At 39.2% G+C, this 23,130-nt stretch overlaps 1 protein-coding gene across 21 annotated transcripts in view, besides 1 other annotated feature; it reads right to left on the bottom strand.

The window, feature by feature from the left end:
* AUTS2 (activator of transcription and developmental regulator AUTS2) overlaps positions 1 to 23,130 on the bottom strand; it is a 1,195,032-nt gene that overhangs the window by 855,856 nt on the left and 316,046 nt on the right. The gene's annotated exons all lie outside the window — the stretch shown is intronic.
* Positions 1,955 to 3,567: an enhancer, noted in NCBI's record as "VISTA enhancer hs1660". NCBI's record gives its function as "enhancer in: ear[5/8]" and the evidence as "EXISTENCE:transgenic organism evidence [ECO:0001131][PMID:17130149]".

The following is a 23,130-nucleotide window of genomic DNA, read 5'->3' as shown; positions in this document are numbered from 1 at the left end:
AAAACTGATGACTGGGCTCTGCCCTCTTCTCAGTGTGGAAGAGGTCCATACTCACATACCCCCAGAGACAAACTTCCAGAAGCACCCCCATCCAAGTGGCCCCAAGAGTTTCTTCAAGGTCTGCAATTAGGTAAACTATGATCTAGTTTCAAGCATCTACATTCAATATGTACTCTCTTTTCTGTTCCCTCCAGACAGACCCTGCCATGTCTCCTTACAAACAACCTTGCCAAAACAGATTTAGAGGCAGCTAAGCCACACCATTCCATGGATCAGAACAAAAGAGACAAGGAAATCTTTGGTTTCCGACGGCAGGAAAAGGCTTCATCCGGGACCAAACCCCTCCCCCAGATAAATCTACTTCTTAATCTCTTAACACTCTTATCTGTGGCCAAAGTGGTTTAATGAGCTGCCTTCAATCTCCCTCCTCAATTCTGTGGCAGTCTGAGATGAGAAATAACATATGATGACTCTCCAGGGTTAGGAACAACCTGGAGGGAGGCTGGCCTCTGGACAGCCTCTTTACAGTCCCTCGTGCATACTCACATAAAGTCATCTGGCCACTCCACATCACACACAGCTCCTAAGAGCCTCACAGTTCTGCTCAAATCTGTCAGTTATATCAAATGAGAAGAGAGAGAAGGGAAAGTAAGATGGAGGGGAAGAAAAAAGGGGGAAAGAGAAGAGAGAACAGGGAGCGGGGAAAGGAAGAGAAGAGGGTAAAGGGAAAAGAGAGGGAGGAACGACGGAAAGAAAAGGGAGAGAAAAAGGAGAAAGGGACAGAGATGATCAATAATTCTCAAGTTTAGTGAGATAATTTGCATTTAGATCTTTTAAATGGAACTTTGGCTCACGTTTTAGACTCTCACATTACTGTATTTACCACTGATGTCAACTCTATGGATTGTTCATTCACTGATGGATATAATCATATTTAAGTGTCCCAGAAATCCCCTAGGAGAACAAAAACTTATAAGCAGCCAAAAAATATCTGTATGTCCCAGCCAGGCACAGTGGCTCACGCCTGTAATCCCAGCACTTTGGGAGGCCTAGGCTGGTGGATTACGAGGTCAGGAGATCGAGACCATCCTGGCTAACAGGGTGAAACCCCATCTCTACCAAAAATACAAAAAATTAGCCGGGTGTGGTGGCGGGCACCTGTAGTCCCAGCTACTCGGGAGGCTGAGGCAGGAGAATGGCGTGAACCCAGGAGGTGGAGCTTGCAATGAGCCGAGATCACGCCACTGCACTCCAGCCTGGGCGACAGAGAGAGACTCTGTCTCAAAAACAAAACAAAACAAAACAAAAAAAATCTGTAGGTCCCAATGGGCAGATGGTGTAAGCCAAGTAGAAAGAACAGGCAGACTGACCAATACAGGCCAGGTCTTACCAAGAGGAACTGAAAGAGAAGAGGCCTAAAGCTTTGGAGGAAAAACTTTAGTTGCTTTCTACAAAATGTATGCTATTGGCTGAATGTGGGAAAGAAACAGTAACTACTTCATCTACTGAGATGAGGAAAATACAGGTGACACTCTTTCCACAAAGGCTCAATCCCATTAGAGGACAAGAATTTCCAACCTGTGGTCTTGTGAAATTAATTCCTAAATTGTGAATACACAGAACTCATTGTTATATTATTCCCTGCCGCACAAATTCAGATATGCTCTTGGTAAATGGCTTTCTGGACTCAGGAGTGAAATATACTAAATGCCTTTTTTAGCAGGTAACAGTAGGTCTATAATGTTGGTCCCATCCTGCATCAAACTGCCATGGGACATCAAACTTGGATTAGAGGGTCTCATGGCTCTAACCGCTAAACCAGACTCTAATTTGTAACATCAATTATCCCAGAACCCTATGTGCCCAGCCTGCTCTATTCTCAACTCTGGGTACAAACTTCACACTGAAATTTACTCATTAATACCTACATATTCCGCAGGTATTTTAAATCCAGTCTGCCCCAAACTGAAATCTACCTTCCCTGTTTCCCTATAAATACTATGCCTGGGGAGTATTAGCTGAAAACCTTAGACCTTCCTTTCTTACTCTCTTTAATTTCTCTTCCTGTTGGTTAAGTCCTATCTCCCTTCACTACTCTATCTGAACTAATGGTCACATCTAAAACCTCTCCATGCTTCCTTCTCCCAACATAATAGGCTGGCACTTTTCCAACTCTCAGCACTTTTTATATAATCTTATTCTCCAGACTGAAACCAGAATAATGCTTCCTAAAAAAATTTTGAAAAGGCTACTCACCTAGTTTAAAATTCTATGATGATTCCCTATTGCCAGTAGCCTTCAAAACCAGGCCCAAACCTAGGTTCACCAAGCTCATTTCAAACCACTTCTCCTTTTTCACCTTGGACCCTGGCAACACATATATCTACACCTCCTAAGCAATACTTAACCTTCATAGCTCGTATGAGACAACTCTCTCCTGGCATGCACCTCCAAAGATCCCCTCCGTCCTTTTTTCCCAGAGTCCTTTATACACATAGCTATTAAGGTTGTGATTATGTGACTGTTTGCATTTCTTTCTACCTACAGAGAAAGTGAGCTTATATGGGGCAGGGACCCTTCCTGGGGATCTTTAGTGGGTGCCTAACAACATCTGTTGTGAAAAAAGCAGTAAGAGAAATTGAGGGTTCAGATTTATCTGAACAAACAAAACCGTAACTTTTCCTTCGGGAATGGCAAAAACTCAAAAGGTAATGCACATAATGGCAGAGGATAACACACCCACAGCCTGTTACCTTTCCACAGGTACACACGCACATCAGTTTGGGGCCCTGGCAAGCACAGCTGGGCAAAAGCCAACTCCTGCAGAGTGGCTGCATTTGTCTTGCTAAGGGGTGGCAACGACAGCATCTGTCAAGACGAGATTGAACAGAGGAGCTCAGAACCAAGCAGAGCTGTAACATGATGCACCAGTATCTGGTTGTGGTGCAAACAAGGTACGCTTTCTTCCTCTACTACACAGCAGGCACCATGCCAAACACACACAGTGTTTGCTATTTTTGCAAGTCTAATAGGGTCTGCTGAGGGGAGGGGTAGGAGATCAGCAGTTCATAATGACTCTCATTATGTCTGGTGCATTTTGAGCCAAGATTAGACACTAGACAATCCTCTGTCCAGTGTCAAGGGCTTTCAACTGCCCTTTCATCAGGATAATTCCACTTCAAACTAATTTAGGTTTCTTATAACCCAAGCTACCAAAACCAATACACTTCACTGTTTTCAGCCCAGAAAAAGGAGTCAATGTCTGCTCCAACTAGAAATACAGTCTTTGGGTTCAGAGTCTGTGACTGCTATACACATGCTGTGACAGGAACATGCCACTATGAGATCTCGCTCTTTCTACTGCACTCTAACTCAGCTGCATTGTAGAAACTCCTTTGGGAAGAGCATCCCCTGCCCTCCTTACTGTCACCTCCACTTCTGTAGATTAGAGTTCCTTTCAACATAGAGTGGAAACAATTTTGGGAGACCTCTAAAAAAAGAGTCTGAACTTTCTAATTCCCACTAAAATCAACAAGGTTATATGAGTTTCGCTCCAGGATAAAAACTAGATTCCGCAGCTAACTGTTTTCCTTTTAAGTCTAAACAATAAAAATAATAAATCTCTAAACTAGACCTTTACATAAAAATTCGAGAACAGTACAAACCAGTGCAGAATTTTAACAATTATCCATTACATGTTCAAGCAACAATTTCTGGTTTTAGTCTTCTAAGTACGGAAAGAGTTTTGTGACTATTGTCATCCTATGTGTATTCACATGGGAAAGAACAAAGGTTTCAAGAAAACAAAAATGACACTTATACTAGTCAAGCACAAAAATGGGAAAGGGCCAAGTGCAATGGCTCACACCTGTAATCCCAACATTTTGGGAGGCTGAGGTGGGAGGACTGCTTGAGGCCAAGAGTTTGAGACCAACCTAAACAACACAGGGAGACCTCCCTCCCTACCAAAAAACAAAAAACAAAAAACAAAAAAAGGAAGGGAAAGGAAAGTGGCAAGTGGATAGCAAAACTCACTGTAATACTTTCCTTTTTTATTCTAAAAAATTTATAGTACTTATTTCGAACAGAACCAACATAACTGTGACCTTCCAAGAAAGTTAATGAATGTTATTTGGATTCATAAACACTATACATTAACAACTCACAGGGAGCCGAAGTCCTGAAAAGGATTAAACGAAGAAAAAAGAAACCAAATGACACTGACCTATCCATGTTTCAAGGTTCCAAAACTTACTTTGTGAATATGAAATCTCTGAAAGCATAAATCTATTACATAAACATTCTAATTATCTATTAAATAGAAGTCATCTTATATATCTAAATATATACATGTACTTATTTTAACCCTTTAAAGCAGACACAATTTAATGTGGTATAATTTGAAATGGACTACTTCACAGAGCAGACACCTGTGCGCACACATGAGCCATTACTTATGTAACAGTACTTTGATTAGTACTCTAAAGAAGCATTAAAGTTTAAGATCTGTTAGAAAAAATAATAGTTTATTGAAATCTAACACAAAAACAAAAATAACTGCATGGAAGTGTAATTACACACTGAACACACCAGTGTAACCAACGTGCAGATCAACAGAAAAATACCTGCATTTCCAAATCCATCCTTGAATGTAAATAATTTTACTTCACTGGGGCAAAATGTGTCCAGAAATTCTTCTTGTATTTATCCTGGAGTTATTATAGACCAATCTGGTTGACTGTTGCTTAAAAGCTTCTATTCTGCATCCCATGTATAATTCTGCTAAAATAGTAGCTCTAGATTACTGAGAACCAAATTCTCAACGGTAACTTAAAACAAATAATGTGAAGCCACTATCGTACACTCATAAATCTGGATTTGAATGTAACAATTATTTGTTCTAACTCATTCATTTTACTAAAGTAGAAGCTGAAGTCCACAGGTGCCAAGCCCTAGCCAAAGTCACACTGAGTGTTCAAAGCCAAACTCACACTGGAGGCCAAACTGTACTAATCAACAGAAGCTGTGTGTTAAGGTTCTAAGGTGTATAATCCAATAAAATGGCCCTGGAAATTCTGAAATAGCTCTAGCCTTCCAATCTGCAATTCTCCAATATCTTAGCCAAAGTTTACTGTCAATACCTGTAGCTACATTAACTTTCTATTTACCAAATCAATGTTGCAATTGTGTCTGCCTCTTCTGCATTTTCTCCCTTTCCTCCCCACCCTCCCTTGCCATTTTCTCACCTCTTAGAGCGCTCCTGAAAAATGACTTCCATCTTCAATAAGCTTTGTCAAAACACAATGCATTGCTAAATCTGAAATCCAATCTATACTTGTATACCAGCTGGGATGCTCTACTCAAAGAAAGAAGGCCGAGAGCTGGATTTTTCAGCAACAAAAGACAACAAAGCACTTTTCCATTTGGGGCTGCAGAGGGAGCCAGAACCATGCAAAGCAAGCAAGTATGTCTTTATAGAACTGGATGAATCCAAAATAGTGAAAAATATAAGCACACACAGAAATCACAGATACCATGCACACAAGCTGTGCATGTGTGTGCACACATATACACACACAAGCACACAAACACACTACTGTCCAGACCTCCAGACTCAGGGGAGATTCTGAAAACACAGTTTGTGTGTTCGGAGAGGAAACATATTTTGTGAGGAAGAGATGGGCAGTAAAAGGAAAACAAAGCAATTCTGTTTTATCAATGAAAAGACAATTAATTAAAAAGAGTCATCAATTCGAAGATTGCCTCATCAAGGTAAGTCGTCAGCACTCTCAAATTAGCAGGCTGCCTGACAAGCGGGGTAGTCTTTTATCTTGAAGAGCCCTTTATGCAGTATTTCTTGAACAGAGTTTTATAAAATCTGACCTTTATTATCTTTTCCTTCTAAAACAGTATAGGTCAGAGTGCAGATGGGGAAAAGCAGGAGGCAGGATCAGAGAAGGTGACAAATGTTTCAAAAAGTAAGACTGCCATGACAAAAACAGAAGGAAGAAACCCCTGACTGATCCTCACCAAGTCAGTGATGTTGCGACAATGGCACAAACGGAGATCCAATAAGTCTTGCACCTCCAAGACTATCTCTGATTACAACAAAATACCACAATGAATACAGCAGAACAGAAAAAGGAGACATTCTGATCAATGGCAAAACAATAGTTAACTAGTAATTCTAAGCAATAAAGAGCTCATTCTCTGACAGCTCTTTCACAGCAAACCAAAGATGTATAATAGCAAGCTGCAAAGATGCAGATGTGGATTATACTGTAATGTAGAGACAGTTAAGATTCTGTATAATGCAGAGATTCTATGCAAAGCCTTAACAATGCTCCAAGCCTAAAACTATAGCTTACTCAGTACAAATCATCAGACCTTAATTGAGTGCCACTATGCCAGGCATGGTATGAGGTTCTGGAGATGTAAGAATGGCAAGTCTGGTTTCAAGCAGCACACCAAGTAACAGGGGAAACTGGAAAGTAAAAAAGTAGTGTGTGTGTGTGTGTGTGTGTGTGTGTGTGTGTGTAAATCCAAAATGCAGTACGAGCATTCTGGCTCAGTCTGGAAAAGCACAAACCTCCCTAAAGATACATTTTTTAAAAGATCTAAACAAATATACTCATCCTGAAATAATTCTGCTCTATCAACATATAAAACATGCAAATTTTACACTGAATTAAGATGTATAAGAAATATTCCCTGAATACTCACCTTAAAGATGGCACTGGGATAGGGCACCAAAACTTATAACTATTCTGACAATATTCCCTCCATTCCAATGATTTTACTATTTTTTAGTGTAAGTTAATAATGATGATGTTTACCTAAAGATTTTTACCATTAAGTACAAAAGAATGTCAAATATACTAGGAAGTAAGAACTGACAAGACTGAAAGAACAAGGCATTGGGTCAAAAGAGAAGGCAGAGAAGGACAAATTATGGTCTTGAGCTTGGCTGAAAGAGATTTCATGATGTTGTTAAATGAAATATGGGAGAACCACTTCTGGTCAAGATGGAGAAACAGTGACTAGATACAGTCTCCTGCCTGAAACAACAAAAAATACTCAGAAAAATATATGAACAATGGTTTTCAAGATACCAGACATGAAGTAACTAATGACAGTAATCTCTGAGATGCAGGAAACAAATGAGAGCCCTATAACTGACCCACCTTATTGTCTGGAGAGTTTCCAGGGTGCAATACCAGGAGATGAAACTGGGGCAGAACCAGGCCAACTCGATGAATTGAGGAGACAGAGTTGAGTCTGAGGACATCAAGGCAGCTGGGGTTCATAGGATAGAGGACTAGAGAGAAGAGAATTACACAGAGAGAGAGCCCTGGAGATCTACAGAGGGTTCACCTGCAACACAGTACAGACTGGCTCGAAAGCAGGGGGACGCTACTCAAGGCTGGGGAAAGAAACACCCAAAAGAATTATAGAGAACATTTCTTGGGACTCGCACAGGACTCTGAACAGTGCCTGTTCCCATGAGAGAGACTAAAAAACTCATACTTCACAGATGATTAGATTGAATACTCAAAAAGGTCTTGCAAAAGTAATGAGGAATAACCAAGGCCTAGACTAAGCTCTTTTCCAGATTTCCCTTAACAAATGCCAATAACAAAACTCCAGGTGATCAAAGTTTTTCTAAGTAACTTTACTGCATCCCAGAACAAAGCTCAAGGCGACTTATAGAAATACCAAAATACCTAGCATCCAACAAGGTAAAATTCACAATGTCTGGCATCCAAAGATCACCAGTTACACAATGAGGCAGAAAAGCATGACCCATAATGAGTAGAATAATCAATAAAGTGAAAACAACCCAGAAGTGGCACTGAGGTTAATTGCAAACAAGGACACTGAAACAATCATTGTACCTGTATTCCAAAAGTTCAAACAGTTAAATAGAGACTTGTAAGTATTTTTAAAAACACTGTAACCAAATCTTTAGAAATGAAACTGCTGTCGGAGATGAAAAACACATTGAATAGGACTAACAACAGATTTGACATAGCAGAAGAAAAGACTGGTGAACCTGAGACACAGCAACTATCCAAACTGAAATGCAAAGAGAAAAAAGAATGAAGAAAAATCAAAGTAGCACAGGAAACTCTAGGAAGAGTTCAAACTATCTAGTATCTGGTTAATTGGAGTCCCTGAAAAGGTAAAGCAGAAGAGAAGGGGAAAAAACCTTAAAGAAATAATAACCCAAAATTTCCAAACTTCATAAAAATGATGAATCCTAGATCAAAGAAGCTCAACAAACCTAAAGCACAAGAAACATGAAGGAAACTAGGGTAAGGCACAATGTAACCAAATGCTCAAAAGCAGCACTAGAGAGAAAACACTTAAAAGCAGTCAAAAAAAAAGACAAGTTACATTACCAGAAACTAAGAGTGACACAAATTTTGTCATGGCAAACACTAAGAGAAAACAGTAGAGCAACACTTTTAAATTACTAAAAGAAAAAGTAACTGTCCAACTAAAATTATATTCCCAGAAAAAAATTTTGAAAACAAAGGCAAAGTGAAGATGTTTTCAGGCATACAAAAGCTGAATGATTTCATCATCAGTAAATTCTCTCAGTAAGAAATGTTAAAAGAAGGCCTTCAGGCAAAAGAAAAACGCTCAGATGTAAATAGGATCTACCCAGAGAAATGAAGGGCATAAGAAATGGTAACCACATTGATGGTGGCAATGGTGGCCCGTCTGGATTGGCCACTGCGAGGACACCCGCTGCAGTGGGGAAGGCCTGTTCACTTAGAACCAGCAAGGGCCAGGAACAGGTGATCCTAGCAGGAGCCCTGCACCTTACAGAGTTGGCGGGACAGGAACCCACACTCCCAGGTGCAGCTGCAGCTGCAGCTGCCTAGATGTGGCTACAGACCCAAGCATCCATGTGTTCTTGGGGGCTCGGGAAGCCCTGCAGGCTCAGAAGTGCCTGCTCCTGCTTCTCTGGCCTCTCCCTGCTCTCTCGGTGCCTAATGCAGCATGGAGCAAAGTTGTGGCCAATCTGGGCACTGTTATGACTTAGCGGCATATGTGCACACTCAGGGTCATGCTGGTATACCAGCCCCCTGCTACCTCAGGCCCCTCCAGACATTGGGTGTAAGCACAGGAGGGAGGCTGGAGCTGCTGAGGGCAGCTCAGTATAGGCCTGCAGGTGCCTCCTGGCACAGACAGCCTTACTGTGGACAGCATGTTGATCACGGCAGGAGGCAGACAGGTCCCAAGGCAGGAAAGGGTGGGTCCGCAGTGAAATCCCACCTTCAAGGCAGGGATGGCATGAAGTCTGTGGGCTGGGCTGCCAGTTCTGAGTGGAGTCCATAACCCCGAGTGAGAAGTTCCTTGATGCCTTTTGGCCACTAGAATGGTGCTTTTTCCAGGCCCACCCATGGCTGCCCATGGACCAATCAGCACACACTTCCTAAATTCTGAGCCCATAAAAACCCTGGACTCAGCCAGACTCAGGGACTCACTGGGACTACCTGCCTGCAGATAGGAGCTACTCACTTCAGGTCTCCACTGAGAGCTGGTCTGTCACTCAATAAAGTTCCTTTCTGCCTTGATCACCCTACAATTGTCCACATAACCCATTCTTCCTGGATGTGAGACAAGAACTTGGGACCTGCCAGATGGCAAGACTAAGACAGCTGTAACACAAATGGGATAACACCCCACCACCACAGGCAATGAAAAGGAGAGAAGACCTGCAGCCCTTCAGGTAGCCCGGTAATACCCCTCTTTGGGGCTCTGTGGTTCCTGGCGGTCTCTGCACTTTCAGGTGCCACTGCATTCCCCTCATCCAGAGACATTGGTGCCCACAGTGGAAGCCACTTGTGGTACATCTGGTCCAGCCACAGCCTCACATGGGGCCGGTACCTGTGCGGGCACCTGGAGCTGCCCTCCCCACTGCAGCAGCCGTTAAGCCTGGCTGTGTGCAGTGGCCAGACCCTGCGCTCACTTGCTCACACAATCCTTGCCACTCTGCATGTGGCTCACCCTTGGCGTAGGACCGAGGTTGGTAGCACAAGCTGAGCGCAGCCTGTCGGGCAGAGTGGGTGGAATGAGCCCAGCAGGAATGAGAAAAACTGAAGCAGAGGCAACGCTGGCCACAGAGGTTTCTGGCTGACGAAGTGACACCCTAAGGATCCTGTGAAAACATGGGGATATATACAAGATTTTTTTTTTAATTATTTAAAATATCCTTAAAAGATAATTCACTGTTTAAGCAGAAATAGTAACAATGTTTTGTAGCCTTTTTAACAAATACAAAAGTAAAACTCATGTCATCGACAGTATAAAGGCTATAAAGGCGTAAATGTAAGTAAATAGAAGAGTAAATATAATATTCTTGTATTATTCATGAAGTGATATAACATCATGTGAAGGTAGACCACTGTAAATTAAAGATATATATAGTATGTATATATATATATATATATAAATATATTGGAGTATTTTCCATTCAAATGTTAAGTTTGAGACTTTCATGTTGCCATTTGTTTTTCATTAGTTGCATTTTTTTCCTTACCCTCTTTCTTGCGGCCTTGTGGACGAATAAAGTATTTAACATATCATTTTATCTCTTTTGCTCCCTTATTAGCTACAATTTTTTATTTCCTTGTTTTTCGTGGTGCTTTAGGGAAAATACTGTATATATATAATATATATGTTATATATCTTTATATATATAAAGATATGATAGATATATACTATATATTATATATGCTATATATCTTACATATCTTTATATATATCTTTATATGTATATACTATATATACATGATATATCTTATATATACTATATATCTTATATATCTTTATATATATTTTATATATATTTATATATCTTTATTATATATAGTGTATATATAGTATTTCCCTAATGCAACCACAAAAAAAAGAGGAAAATAATTGTAGCTAATATGGGAACAAAAGACATAAAATGAAATCTTAAATACTTTATTCATTCTCAAGGCTGCAGGGAAAGAGGGTAAGGAAAAAAAATGCGACTAACAAAAAACAAATGGCAACATGAAAGTCTCAAACCTAACATTTGAATGGAAAATACTCCAATTAAAAGAGATAATAAAGTGAGATACATGACTGACAGATATAGGTAGGTAGGTAGGCAGGCAGATAGATAGATAGATAGATAGATAGATAGATAGATAGATAGATAGACAGACAGACAGACAGATAGATTTCAGAGCAAAGACTATTACCAGGGATAGAGGTGGTCATCTCATAATAATAAAGGGATCAATCAATCAATACCACATAACCCTAAATGTTTATGTACCAAATAACAAAGCCTCAAAATAGCACAGGACAATAGGAACAAAGAAACAAAACCACAATTATAGCCAGAGACATCAATATACCTCTCTTGATAGAACAAGCAGGCAAAAAATCCGTAAGGATATAATAAAACTGAGCAACACTATAAACCAACTTGGGCTGACTGGCATTTATAGAACATTCCTACCAACTACAGAAGAAAATTACGTTCCTCTCAAGTGCTCAGGGAACATCTACAAAGAAAGACCATATTCTGGGCCATAAAATTGTGCCAATAAATTTAAAAGGATACAAGTCATACAAGCAATGTTGTTTCTAGGTGTGTTTTGTTTTTTGTTTTTAGAGAGACAAGGTCTCACTATGTTGCCCAGGCTAAACTCAGCTACTAGCTCAAGTGATCCTCCTACCTCCATCTCCTAAGCAGCTGGGACTATAGGCGCACCACCATACCCAGTTAAAGTGTTTGTCTGTCTTAAATCACAATGGAGTTAAATAAGAAACCAATTCCAGGCCAGGTTCAGTAGCTCATACCTGTTATCCCAACACTTTGGGAGGCCAAGGAGGGAAAACTGCTTGAGAGCAAGGATTCAAGACCATGCTGGGCAACATAGTAAGACACTATCTCTACAAAAGATTTTTAAAAGCCAGGCTGATATGAGAGGATCACTTGAAACCAGGAATTCAAGGGTGCAATGAGCTATGATCACGCCACTGCACTCCAGCCTGGATGACAGGGTGAGATCCTGTCTCTTAATTAATTAATTGACTGATTTAATGTAATAAACCAATACTAGAAAGATCCCTGGAAAACCCCTAAAATATTTGGAGTGTTTCAATTAGAAGTCACAAGGGAAATCAGAAAGTACTCTAAACTGAATGAAAATGAAAATACCACAGATCAGAATATTTGGGGTGCTGCTAAAGTAATATTTGGGGGTAAATTTATAGCATCAAAAGGCTATATTAGAAGAGAAGAAAGATCTTAAATCAACAAACTCAGCTCCTACTTTTAAAAGCCAGAAAAATAAGCAAAGTAAAACTAAAGTAAGCAGAAAGAAGGAAATCAATGAAATATAAAACAACAGAGAAAAATCAATGAAAATAAAGCTTGTTCTTCAAGAAGATCAATAAAATTAATAAACTCCCAGTCATACTGATATGACAGAGAGAGAAGAGGGGAGGAAAGGAGGCTATCAACAGATATAGAATTGCCATAGATTCTATAGATATAAAAGGATAATGAAGGAATATTATATGAATTTTATGCCAATAAATTCAACAACTTTGATAAAATGAAAAAATTCCTTGAAAAGACATAAATTACCAAAGCTGACTCAAGAAGAAATGGATAACATAAATAGTTCAATATTTAGTAAAGAACATGAATATTTCATTTAAAACCTTTCCACAGAAAGAAAACTCTAGGCCCAGATGGATTCACTGACAAATTCTACCTATCATTTAAGAAAGAAATAACAGGCCGGGCCTGGTGGCTCATGCCTGTAATCCCAGCACTTTGGGAGGCAGAGGCAGACGGATCACCTGAGGTCAGGAGTTTGAGACCAGCCTGACCAACAGGGAGAAACCTCATCTCTACTAAAAATACAAAATTAGCTGGGCGTGGTGGCGCATGCCTATAATCCCAGCTACTCAGGAGGCTGAGGTAGGAGAATCGCTTGAACCCAGGAAGCAGAGGTTGCAGTGAGCTGAGTTTGCGCCATTGCACTTCAGCCTGGGCAACAAGAGCAAAACTCTGTCTCAAAAAAAGAAAAAAAAAAAAGAAAAGAAAGAAAGAAAGAAAAGAAAAGACAAAAGAAATAATAACAATTCTACACAAACTCTTCTAAGAAACTGAGGAAAAGGGAATATTTCCCTACCTTTCCTATGAGGCCAGCATCACTCTGATAATAAAACCAGACAAATAGATCAAAAGAAAACTACAGACCAATTTTTATTCATGAACACAGGTGTAAAAATTCTTTAAAACATTTTTAACAAATCAAATCCAACAATCTATTTAGAAGTTAATATATCATGACTAAATAGAGTTTACCAAGGAAAGCATTTTGGTTTCACATTTAAAAACCAATCAATGTATTACTATATTAATAAACAAAAAAAGAAAAATCATATGATCATCTTGATAGACAAAAAAAAGGTGTTTGACAAAATATAACATGCATTCTTGATTAAAATTCTGACAAACTTAGAATGGAACATTCTCAACCTAATAAAGGGCACTATGAAAAACGTATAGCTAAGCTCAGAATTAATGGCAAAAGATTCTGTCTTTCCCCCTAAAATCAGGAAAAGGGCAGGAGTGTCCAGTCTTGTCTCTTCTATTAAACATGATCCTGTAAGTTCCTGACAGAGAAATCAGACAAGAAAAAGACAGAGAAGATACCCAGATTAGGAGGAAAGAAATAAGCTGCTTCTATTCACTAAAAATATGATCATCCATGTAGAAAATCCAGTAAGACCTACAAAAAAAACTACTAGAACTAATAAGTGAGTTTAGCAAGGTTGCAGAATGCAAGTGAATATACAAAAATCAGTGAATTTCTACATATTGATAGTGAACTGGAAACTAAAGTTAAAAAACACCACCATTTAATACTGCATCAAAAATATGAAACACATAGGAATAAATCTGACAAAATATATGAAAGGCTTATATACTGAAAAGTACAAAATATTGCTGAAGGAAATAAGTAAGATCTAAATAGAGAGATAGACCTTGTTCGAGAGTTGAAAACTCAATATTTTAAACTGTCAATTCTCCCCAAATTGATCACACGATCAATATAATCTCAACCAACATCTTGGCCAGATTCTTTATAGAACCTGACAAGCTGATTCTAAAAGTCATACGCTAGTGAAAAGAATCTTAAAAAGCCAAAACTATGTAACATTATCTCACTTCAAAACTTACTACAAAGCAAGCTACAGTAATAAAGACAGTATAGTATAGGCATAAAGATAGACAAATAGATCAAAGGAACAGAATAGAGAGTATAGAAATAAACTCACACATACATGGACAACTGATTGTTTACAAAAGTACAAAGGCAATGCAAAGGTGGAGAATGGACAGCTTTTTCAAAAATGCCTTCAGAAAAATTGAATATCCATATGCAAAAGAAATTAACTTTAATCTATACCTCCCACCATATTCAAAACTTAAAATCAAACAGGCACAGTCTACTTCATGTCAAGTATACCTTTTGGAAAAGAAAAGGCAGAAATAAGCCAACCAGTCTTAGGGTTGATTCAGGCAAATACATAACATGGACCAACGCATACCAATCTGTGATAACTGATATTGTAACAACTGGTTAAGCACTTTAAAGCATGTTAATTTATTCTTTAAAAATACAAAAATTCACTTCATTTCTTTTTTGAACAATATCAACATCAGTTTCCCTTTACTATAAGTATAAGAAACCAACACTAGAGGAAAGGGAATGTACAGAAAATATTCAAAATGGTGTACAAAATCAACTGAGAGATAATATACTGCCTCCTCATGCTTTCAGTAACCTTTCCCACGCTATGTTAACAAGTCTGAAGTTACCCAGGCCATATGCTAATATAATGCATACACTCTATAAGTAAATGATCTTCACTAAGAAGTGTCGAAATGTGTAAGGAGAGAAGCATTCTTTCTGGTGTACAGACTAGGAAAGCAATTCACACAATCTCAAATTAAATTGAGAGTTTCTGAGTTGGCTACAACCAAAAATCACCCTGAGAAGTGAAAACAGCATGGATCACTTAAGAGCATGAAAATGTGGTTTCTCTTCTCACATTTATACTTACTGTATGTATCAATACCACATACCAGGGCCTATACAGTAAAAGTGCTAAGAAAGCAGCGAAGCTTAAGCCATTTCTAAAGTCTTAGAAGAGGCTTTGGTGAAGTCAATCTCGTGCTACCTGTTTTAGCAGATAAAACAACATCTTCCTTAAAAACAGTCAAAGAAAGGATCAGCTTATGCTAGGTGAGTAATAATGCCAACAGTTTATTGCCCCAATAAACCTCTTAAGGAGTAGAAAAAGGACAGCGCTAGTTGGTAGTAAGTTTATATGTAACCACATACCTGGCTTAGCCTTTCACAGACTGCGTGCATGAAATCAAAAAGCCAAAGATGATGCAATTTGATGTGTGAGAATTTTACAAATGCAAAGTAGCCTACTGAGTGCAGCTCAAATATCCCTGAGACTAGTCAACATTTACTAATTTTTTTTTCTTTTTTCTTTTTTTGAGACAGAGTTTCACTCTTGTTGCCCAGGCTGGAGTGCAATGGCGTGATCTCGGCTCACTGCAACCTCTGCCTCCCAGGTTCAAGAGATTCTCCTGCCTCAGCCTCCCAAGCAGCTGGGATTACAGGCATGTGCCACCATGCCCACTAATTTTGTATTTTTAGTAGAGACGGGGTTTCTCCATAATGGTCAGGCTGGTCTCAAACTCCTGCCCTCAGGTGATCTGCCTGCCTCAGCCTCCCAAAATGCTGGGATTACAGGCATGACCTACCATGCCCGGCCTTTTTTTTTTTTTTTTTTTTTAAAGACAGAGTCTCGCTCTGTTGCACAGGCTACAGTGCAGTGGTGTGATCTCGGCTCACTGCCTCCTGGGTTCAAGCAATTCTCCTGCCTAGGCCTCCCAAGTAGCTGGGATTATAGGCACACACCACCAAGCCTGGCTAATTTTTGTATTTTTTAGTAGAGATGGGGAGTTTTACCATGTTGGCCAGGCTGGTCTCAAACTTCTGACCTCAGGTGATCTGCCTGCCTCTGCCTCTCAAAGTGCTGGAATTACAGGCGTGAGCCACCATGCTCGGCCAACGTTTACTAATCTTAATAGCATCTGTGAGATCCAGAATGGTTTTCATAAATGTCTGGTTTTCTCCTTCTATTTCCCACCGTGATGTTTTTTGTTTCTTTTAACTTTTCTACTTTTCCTAGTTATTACGGTTAAAAAAAAAAAAAAAAAAAAAAAAACTTCAAGTCTAAATACTAAAACCAGAAGACATACATTTCTTCAGACAATCTCAATGCATCCTGCTTTGGAAATTTTGTCCTTCATTTCAGGAAGAAATTTTTATAATTCACACAACTTCCTTAGTCAATCCAACAAGAAAGTCAGGAAAAACACATAGGCATTTATTTTGATTAGGAAAAATTCTCACATTAACAATAAGAAAACAAACCACACAACTCGCCATCTCTGATGCCAAAGCCAGAGGCAGACCTTCATGGTGGCAGCTCATAAATTCTAGCCCAAGATCACAAATACAGCTGTAAGGAAACCCTCCCAAGAAAAACACATGGCATTATAAAAACCACGAGGGAGATTAGTGAAAAATTAAGCACGTATCATTCACCAACTTTTCCAAGAGTATTTTTTTACAGTTTATTTACTTTAAACTGTCCCAAAGTAATTAACCCAGAGGTGAAGCCCTGGAAAATAGGGACCATCTCTTATATTCCTCTGACATCTCTCAGGTTTGAAACACAGAGAATGCATGTAAAACATGTACTGAATAAAGAGAGCTACCTGGAAGAGGGCAAGGAGTCCTACACAAGAACCATTTCACGCCAGTGTTGAACAGTCTAGGAAGAAAATACTGTATCTTATCAATTTCATTCAGTCTACATAAATAGGGTATAGGGAAGGATTTTCCAAAGCCAGAAGAATCAACATATATGCCTCACAATTTACTTACTGAAAAACTGAAAAGCAGGCCAGGTACAGTGGCTTACACCTGTAATCCAAGCACTTTGGGAGGCCATGGCAGGTAGATTCTCTGAGCTCAGGAGTTTGAGACAAGCCTGGGAAACATGGAAAAACCCTGCCTCCCCCGAAAATACAAAAACAGCCGGGCATGGTGGTGCATACCTGTAGTACCAGCTGCTTAGGGGACTGAAACGGGAGGATTGCTTGAGCCAGGAGGTTCAGACTGCAGTGAGATTGTACCACTGCACTTCAACCTGAGTGACAAAGCAAGACCCCCTCTCTAAAAAAAAATAAAAGAAAGAAAGAGAGAGGACAGGAGAGGAGAGGAGAGGAGAGCTAAGCCAAAAATGAATACATCTAGGAACATGGGTTAGTCATTAAAAATAATAATAATAATAATTTCATTACATTCCTTCACCATGAATTATCCATAACAATCAAATTTCTATAATTTCAATGTAAAAGATCTAAAGTTACAATCCTCAGATCACCACCAATAGGCATGCCCACCCCCGCCCACCCCAAACAAAAAAGTTACACTATCTCATATTAATCTCTTCCCAACAAAAGGCAACTGCAAAAAATTGTATACATAAGACCACTTCATTTACGTTTTTCAATCTAATGTACCCACTGGTATCTACAGTAGTCTAATAACCATGTGCACAGCATAATTTTACCAAAGTGAGTCATTACCACAAAGCAGAAACTCTTGAGGTGTTGTTCTTTGTAGGTATCACATACTTCAGTGCTGGTTTATCTAAAATATTAATATTATCAAAGTCCAGGTAGTTCCTAGTTTTTTTAATCTACTTTTTTTTCTCAATTTTAAGGAAGAGGGAATTTTAAGTACTCCAGCATGTATAACATCTTCACAGTGTTAGAAGAATACAACATCTGCATTCTGGTACAATCACAGAAACTGAGGGTCAAAGAGCAGCAATAACTTGGTTAAGGACAAAGTGCCAGCAGCAAGGTAGAAACTTTAACCCAAGAATCCAGATTCTCAGTCTCTCTCTCCCCAACAAAATACACGTTCATACAGCCTGTGCAATACAAACACTGCTATCTTCTTCACTGAACATATTCACAATAAAACTGCCCCCTTCCTTCTAATTAGCTACAGTGTCTGCGATACCTCTTAAGTGATCAAATGAATTCAAAGTCGTGGCCATAAAACAATGTGAAGACAAGACGTCTTTGTCTTCTTCAGTCTGCCAACATGTAACACCTAGGAGAAATGATCTTATTGCTCTGAATGAAGATCCCCATAACTGCTGAAAGAGGAACCTTAACAGATTTTCTTATATCAATATCAATAGCCACACGCTGTATCTACAGTACCAACACAATACTTTATACAGTCTAAAACCAAAGAGGAAAAAAGTGTAGAAGGGGTCTCAGTAATGTAAAAGTGTTCAATATATTTTCCATTGTTTCCCCCTCTGAATCACAACCCAGTCAATTTTATACCTTGTCTCCTCTGGCTGCCATGAACTAGGTCGACATATATGACAATAGTTAATGACCCAAGCTACAAGAATTTAAGAGAAAAGTATTCCTTACCTCAATCTTTTCATCCACAGCTGTATTTCTACCCCCAAGAGTAGCCTTTCAGAAAGAATGTGGAAATGGACAGGAATATAAAGATTTTTCTTAAATTACTGCTTCATTCTGCTAAAATAGTTCGCCTGTGCCCTAAAAAATATTGTTTAAAAAAAGCTTTTCAAAAAGGAATGTGGAAGCTGCAACAAGTAAAAGATCCTAGTATTAAAATCCTAGGATCCCAGCTCTAAGCGCTGTTTCCTACAATCATTATGATTATCCTTGCTTTGTGCCTTGACTCATGGAAACAAAATACGGAATAATTATGCCAGGGGAACTATAATACTGTGGTTACCTCAAATAAACCTTTTAGCACACTTGTGGTCACTTTTTAAGCCAGCTTTTTAAAAAATAAGCCAATATAAATCACATCTCAAAATCCTCACAAAGTCTACACAATTTACTGGTAACAGAAATGTCTTTGTATCAGTAAAAGTTTTCATTTCAGTATTAACTTAGCAGAATGACAAAGTTCATATCATGTCTAGTTTTTCTTGCTTTGAAAGCCTAAGCATTAATTCACACATAAGCAAAGTTACCTCGTAACAATGAAAAGACTCCAAAGGGTTCAGTATAGGCAATTCTTGACTTACAACTCTGAGGCCTGAAAATTATTTCCAGTAACAAAAGGCTTCTGTAATCTCCAATGGCCACACCAATACAAGGGTCCAGCAACTACCATTATGAAAAAAGAAATTGATCTTTTTTACGTTTTTGAACGAAACCACCAAAATTTGCAGTAATCTTTTGTAAAAGACTGGTCCTCTAAAATTCATTTTCCTTTCCCTATGCCACATTAAATTCTAACAAACTGAACATTTTCTTAGTTTAAAAATGTGTCCTTGGGGCTGGGCATGGTGGCTCAAGCCTGTAATCCCAGCACTTTGGGAGGCCGAGGCAGGTGGATCACGAGGTCAGGAAATCAAGACCATCCTGGCCAACATGGTGAAACCCTGTCTCTACTAAAAATACAAAAATTAGCCAGGTGTGGTGGCGGGCACCTGTAGTCCCAGCTACTAGGGAGGCTGAGGCAGAAGAATCGTTTGAACCCAGGAGGTGGAGGTTGCAGTGAGCCGAGATCGCGCCACTGCACTCCAGCCTGGGCGACAGAGCGAGACTCCGTCGCAACAACAACAACAACAACAACAACAACAACAACAACAAAGGTGTCCTTGGAAATGAAGACCATTATTCTAAGTGAAGTGACTCAGGAATGTAAAACCAAATACCCTATGTTCTCACTTATAAGTGGGAGCTAAGCTATGGGTATGCAAAGGCATACAGAGTAGTATAACAGACACTGGAGACTCAGAAGAGGGCAGAGTGAGAGGGGAGTGAGGGACAAAAAACAATATATTGTAACTACTACAATATGTAGTTATAACCTACATTACTAGGTGATGGGTGCACTAAAATCTCAGATTTTACCACTATACAATTCACCCATGTTAACAAAAAACCAGCAGGCCCCTTAAAGCTATAGGGGATCCCTTTCAAGAGATGTTATTCTAAGAGGTAGTATAGTCCATTTCTGATTTAGTAGGACTACATTTCTCACATGTAACTAAGATCAGACTCACTGAAGGAAAAAAAAAATTCAGATTTGTAGGAGTGGGTGAAGGAAGACATTATAGAAAATAGATTAAGTCTGATGTGATAGGGGCATGGGATTAGGAAGCACCAAAAAAAAAAAAAAAGAAAAAAAAAGGGAATGCTCTGAAAGGCATTAAAATGTGTGGGCACCAGCCTAGAAAACACAGTGAGTCCTCCATCTCTAAAGAAAGAAAGAAAAAAAAACCCACACAATTAGCCAGGTGTGGTGGCACATGCCTTTAGTCCCAGCTACTTGGGAGGCTGAGGCAGAAGGACATTTTGAACCCATGAGGTGGAGGCTGCAGTGAGCTATGATCACACCACTACACTCCAGCCTGGGCAAGAGAGTGAGATCCTCTCTAAAACAAAACAAAACAAAAAAATGTGTGGGCTTCTATACCATATAAAGAAAGTTGAAATTAACCTATAAGTAAAGTCAATGAAAACTCTTGAAACAAATGACACGATTCAATTTGCATGCTGTCAAGAACACAATAATGGAGGAATTTGAGGAGCAGAATTTAACAGTGGCAAGATTAGAGGCTGAGAAGTCAGATGAGAAGCTAGTCATCACACCTCCAAGAGAAAGAGAACCTGAACTACTGCACTCGCAGGAAGGATAGAAAACATTGAAGAGAGAGGGTCAGATAAGAAATACATAGGATAAAAATCTATAGGATGTAAGAATGGGGGGAAGAGGGGAAGAGGAGTTTGACTTGCAGGTTTCTAGTATGAACAGATTTATGGCTTGGATGCTTAGCAGATGGTGCACACAGTAAGGAAGGAAATTGAGGAGGAAGAGCAATTTGGGGACCACCATTATAGATTTCAAAGTGAGATATGCTGAGTTTGAAATGTTTGTGAATGATCTAGGCAGCAAAACTCTGATAAGGAGCTGAGTTTATGAATCTAGAAGTTGAGAAGAAAGGTCTGGGTTAAACATTTAAATGGAAGCTGTATACTACTAAGAGAATTTAATATATGAAGAGAATGTAACTTCCACTAGGGCAGATGTATTCATTATTTTGTTCACTAATATAAGCACCCAAAATTATGTCTGTCCATAGCAGTACATGAACAATAAATATTTAATGAATGAATGTCAAGGGACAGTGAGTAGTATCCTTGGAGGAGTGAATGTTATTGAATAAACAGCATTTTGATAAATTCACTGGGAAACTACCATTTGTAACACTTCCTAACAAACAGGATTTCCACAAACAAAAAAGCAGTTTATAAATTATCTTTTGGGAAAAAAATAACTTGATAGTAAATTAGAAACAGCTCTATAATCTACTCCTGAGATCACGTAATTGTTCAATCTCCCATCAGTATACTCACTATATAAATCTGAAGTCTAAATTTTTATTCAAAAGGCCAGGCACGGTGGCTCACGCCTGTAATCCCAGCACTTTGGGAGGCCAAGGCAAGAGAATTGCTTGAGCTCAAGAGCTCGAGACCAGCCTGGGCACCACGGCAAAACCCCATCTCTTCAAAAAATTAGCTAGGTGTGGTGGTGTGCGCCTGTAGTCCCAGCTACTCAGGAGGCTGAGGTGGAAGGATCACTTAAGCCCGGGGGGCAGAGGGTACAGTGAGCCAAGATCACACCACTGCACACCAGCCTTGGTGATAGAGTGAGACTCCGTCTCAATAAATAAATAAATAAATAAAAATTTCTATTCAAATTCTGAAGGTCTACTTGCATCAAAAATAATCTACTTCCAAGAAAACAGAAATGATAGAAAAGGAAAGCTATTTCTATTTATCATAAACAGTTCCACCTCTAGACAGAAACATAAGACTTTCCTGTACTAAGAGTTCCAAGAGTAAGTCGTTTCAAAGTGGGTCAGTGTCCATAAGCAAAACCATTTCTAGAAAATACACCTATTTTCTTGGTCCATGCAGTTTGAAAGCCACTGAGATTTTAATAATCTGTAAATATTAAGCATAAAACCAATGCGCCAGGTAATTCCCAGTAAATTGCACCTGAGTGAAAAATGTGCGAACCTTATTTAAGCCTTTATTTTTAAAAATAAGCAGCCAAGAAAACTGATACACAAAATACTATTTCCAACATTTGCCGATGCTTTCGGTAGAATAATGCATTTTTCTCAAAAGTTTCTTAAAAGGACAGAAGGGAGGTCAACAAAAATGGCACAATAAGAAAGAAACAATTTTAAAGAACTTTAATATGTATCTCTGAAGGTATTCCCTCTCTAGGAGATGTTCAACCTTGTCTCCCTTTGAACTGCATTTAATCTGCCAGCCTCAGCCTCACTTGTTGTTAAGAGCTCTCCATGAACTCTTCACAATAGGTGGGTCAGAATGGATCTAGCAAGCCATAAACACATCATGGGCAGAGTTATCATTAAACATATCCTCCCTGTTATGTCAGAGTTTCTTGTATAAGGTTTGCACACAAACGATGTTCAGTTGATGTTTGCTCAATGAGCAAATATGTGGAAAATGAATTAATTGGGCCACTTTAAAAGGAAATAAACTGTTTTCTAAGATCAAAACATTTTAAACCGAGGGCACGTGGGACAATAATTTTTCAGTGAAAAGACACGCTATTCATGCATTGATACTAAAAAGAGTTTGTACTCATGGTAAAAAAGTAGAGCCCCACACAAATATTTGCATATAAAAGAGTACTCAGTGAATTTCACCTCACTCCCACCAACTTTCCTCTCCGTCTTTCTGCTTGTCTAGTCTCTTTTGGATTACCTCTAAAAAGATGGAAGGCTATGGTTTTCCTAGGTCAGCTTTTCCTGGCTGCACTAGCAATTCTACCATCCTGACAGGCTACAACCCTGGGAAGACAAACTGCTGATAGATTCCATGGGAGAACAGCAGACACGGTCCACGCAGGG

The sequence above is a fragment of the Homo sapiens genome, chromosome 7 (assembly GCF_000001405.40).
Source record: "Homo sapiens chromosome 7, GRCh38.p14 Primary Assembly".
NCBI classification, from domain to species: Eukaryota; Metazoa; Chordata; class Mammalia; order Primates; family Hominidae; genus Homo; species Homo sapiens.
The sequence above is the reverse complement of the archived record's forward strand: the minus strand, read 5'-3'. Positions and strand labels throughout refer to the sequence as shown.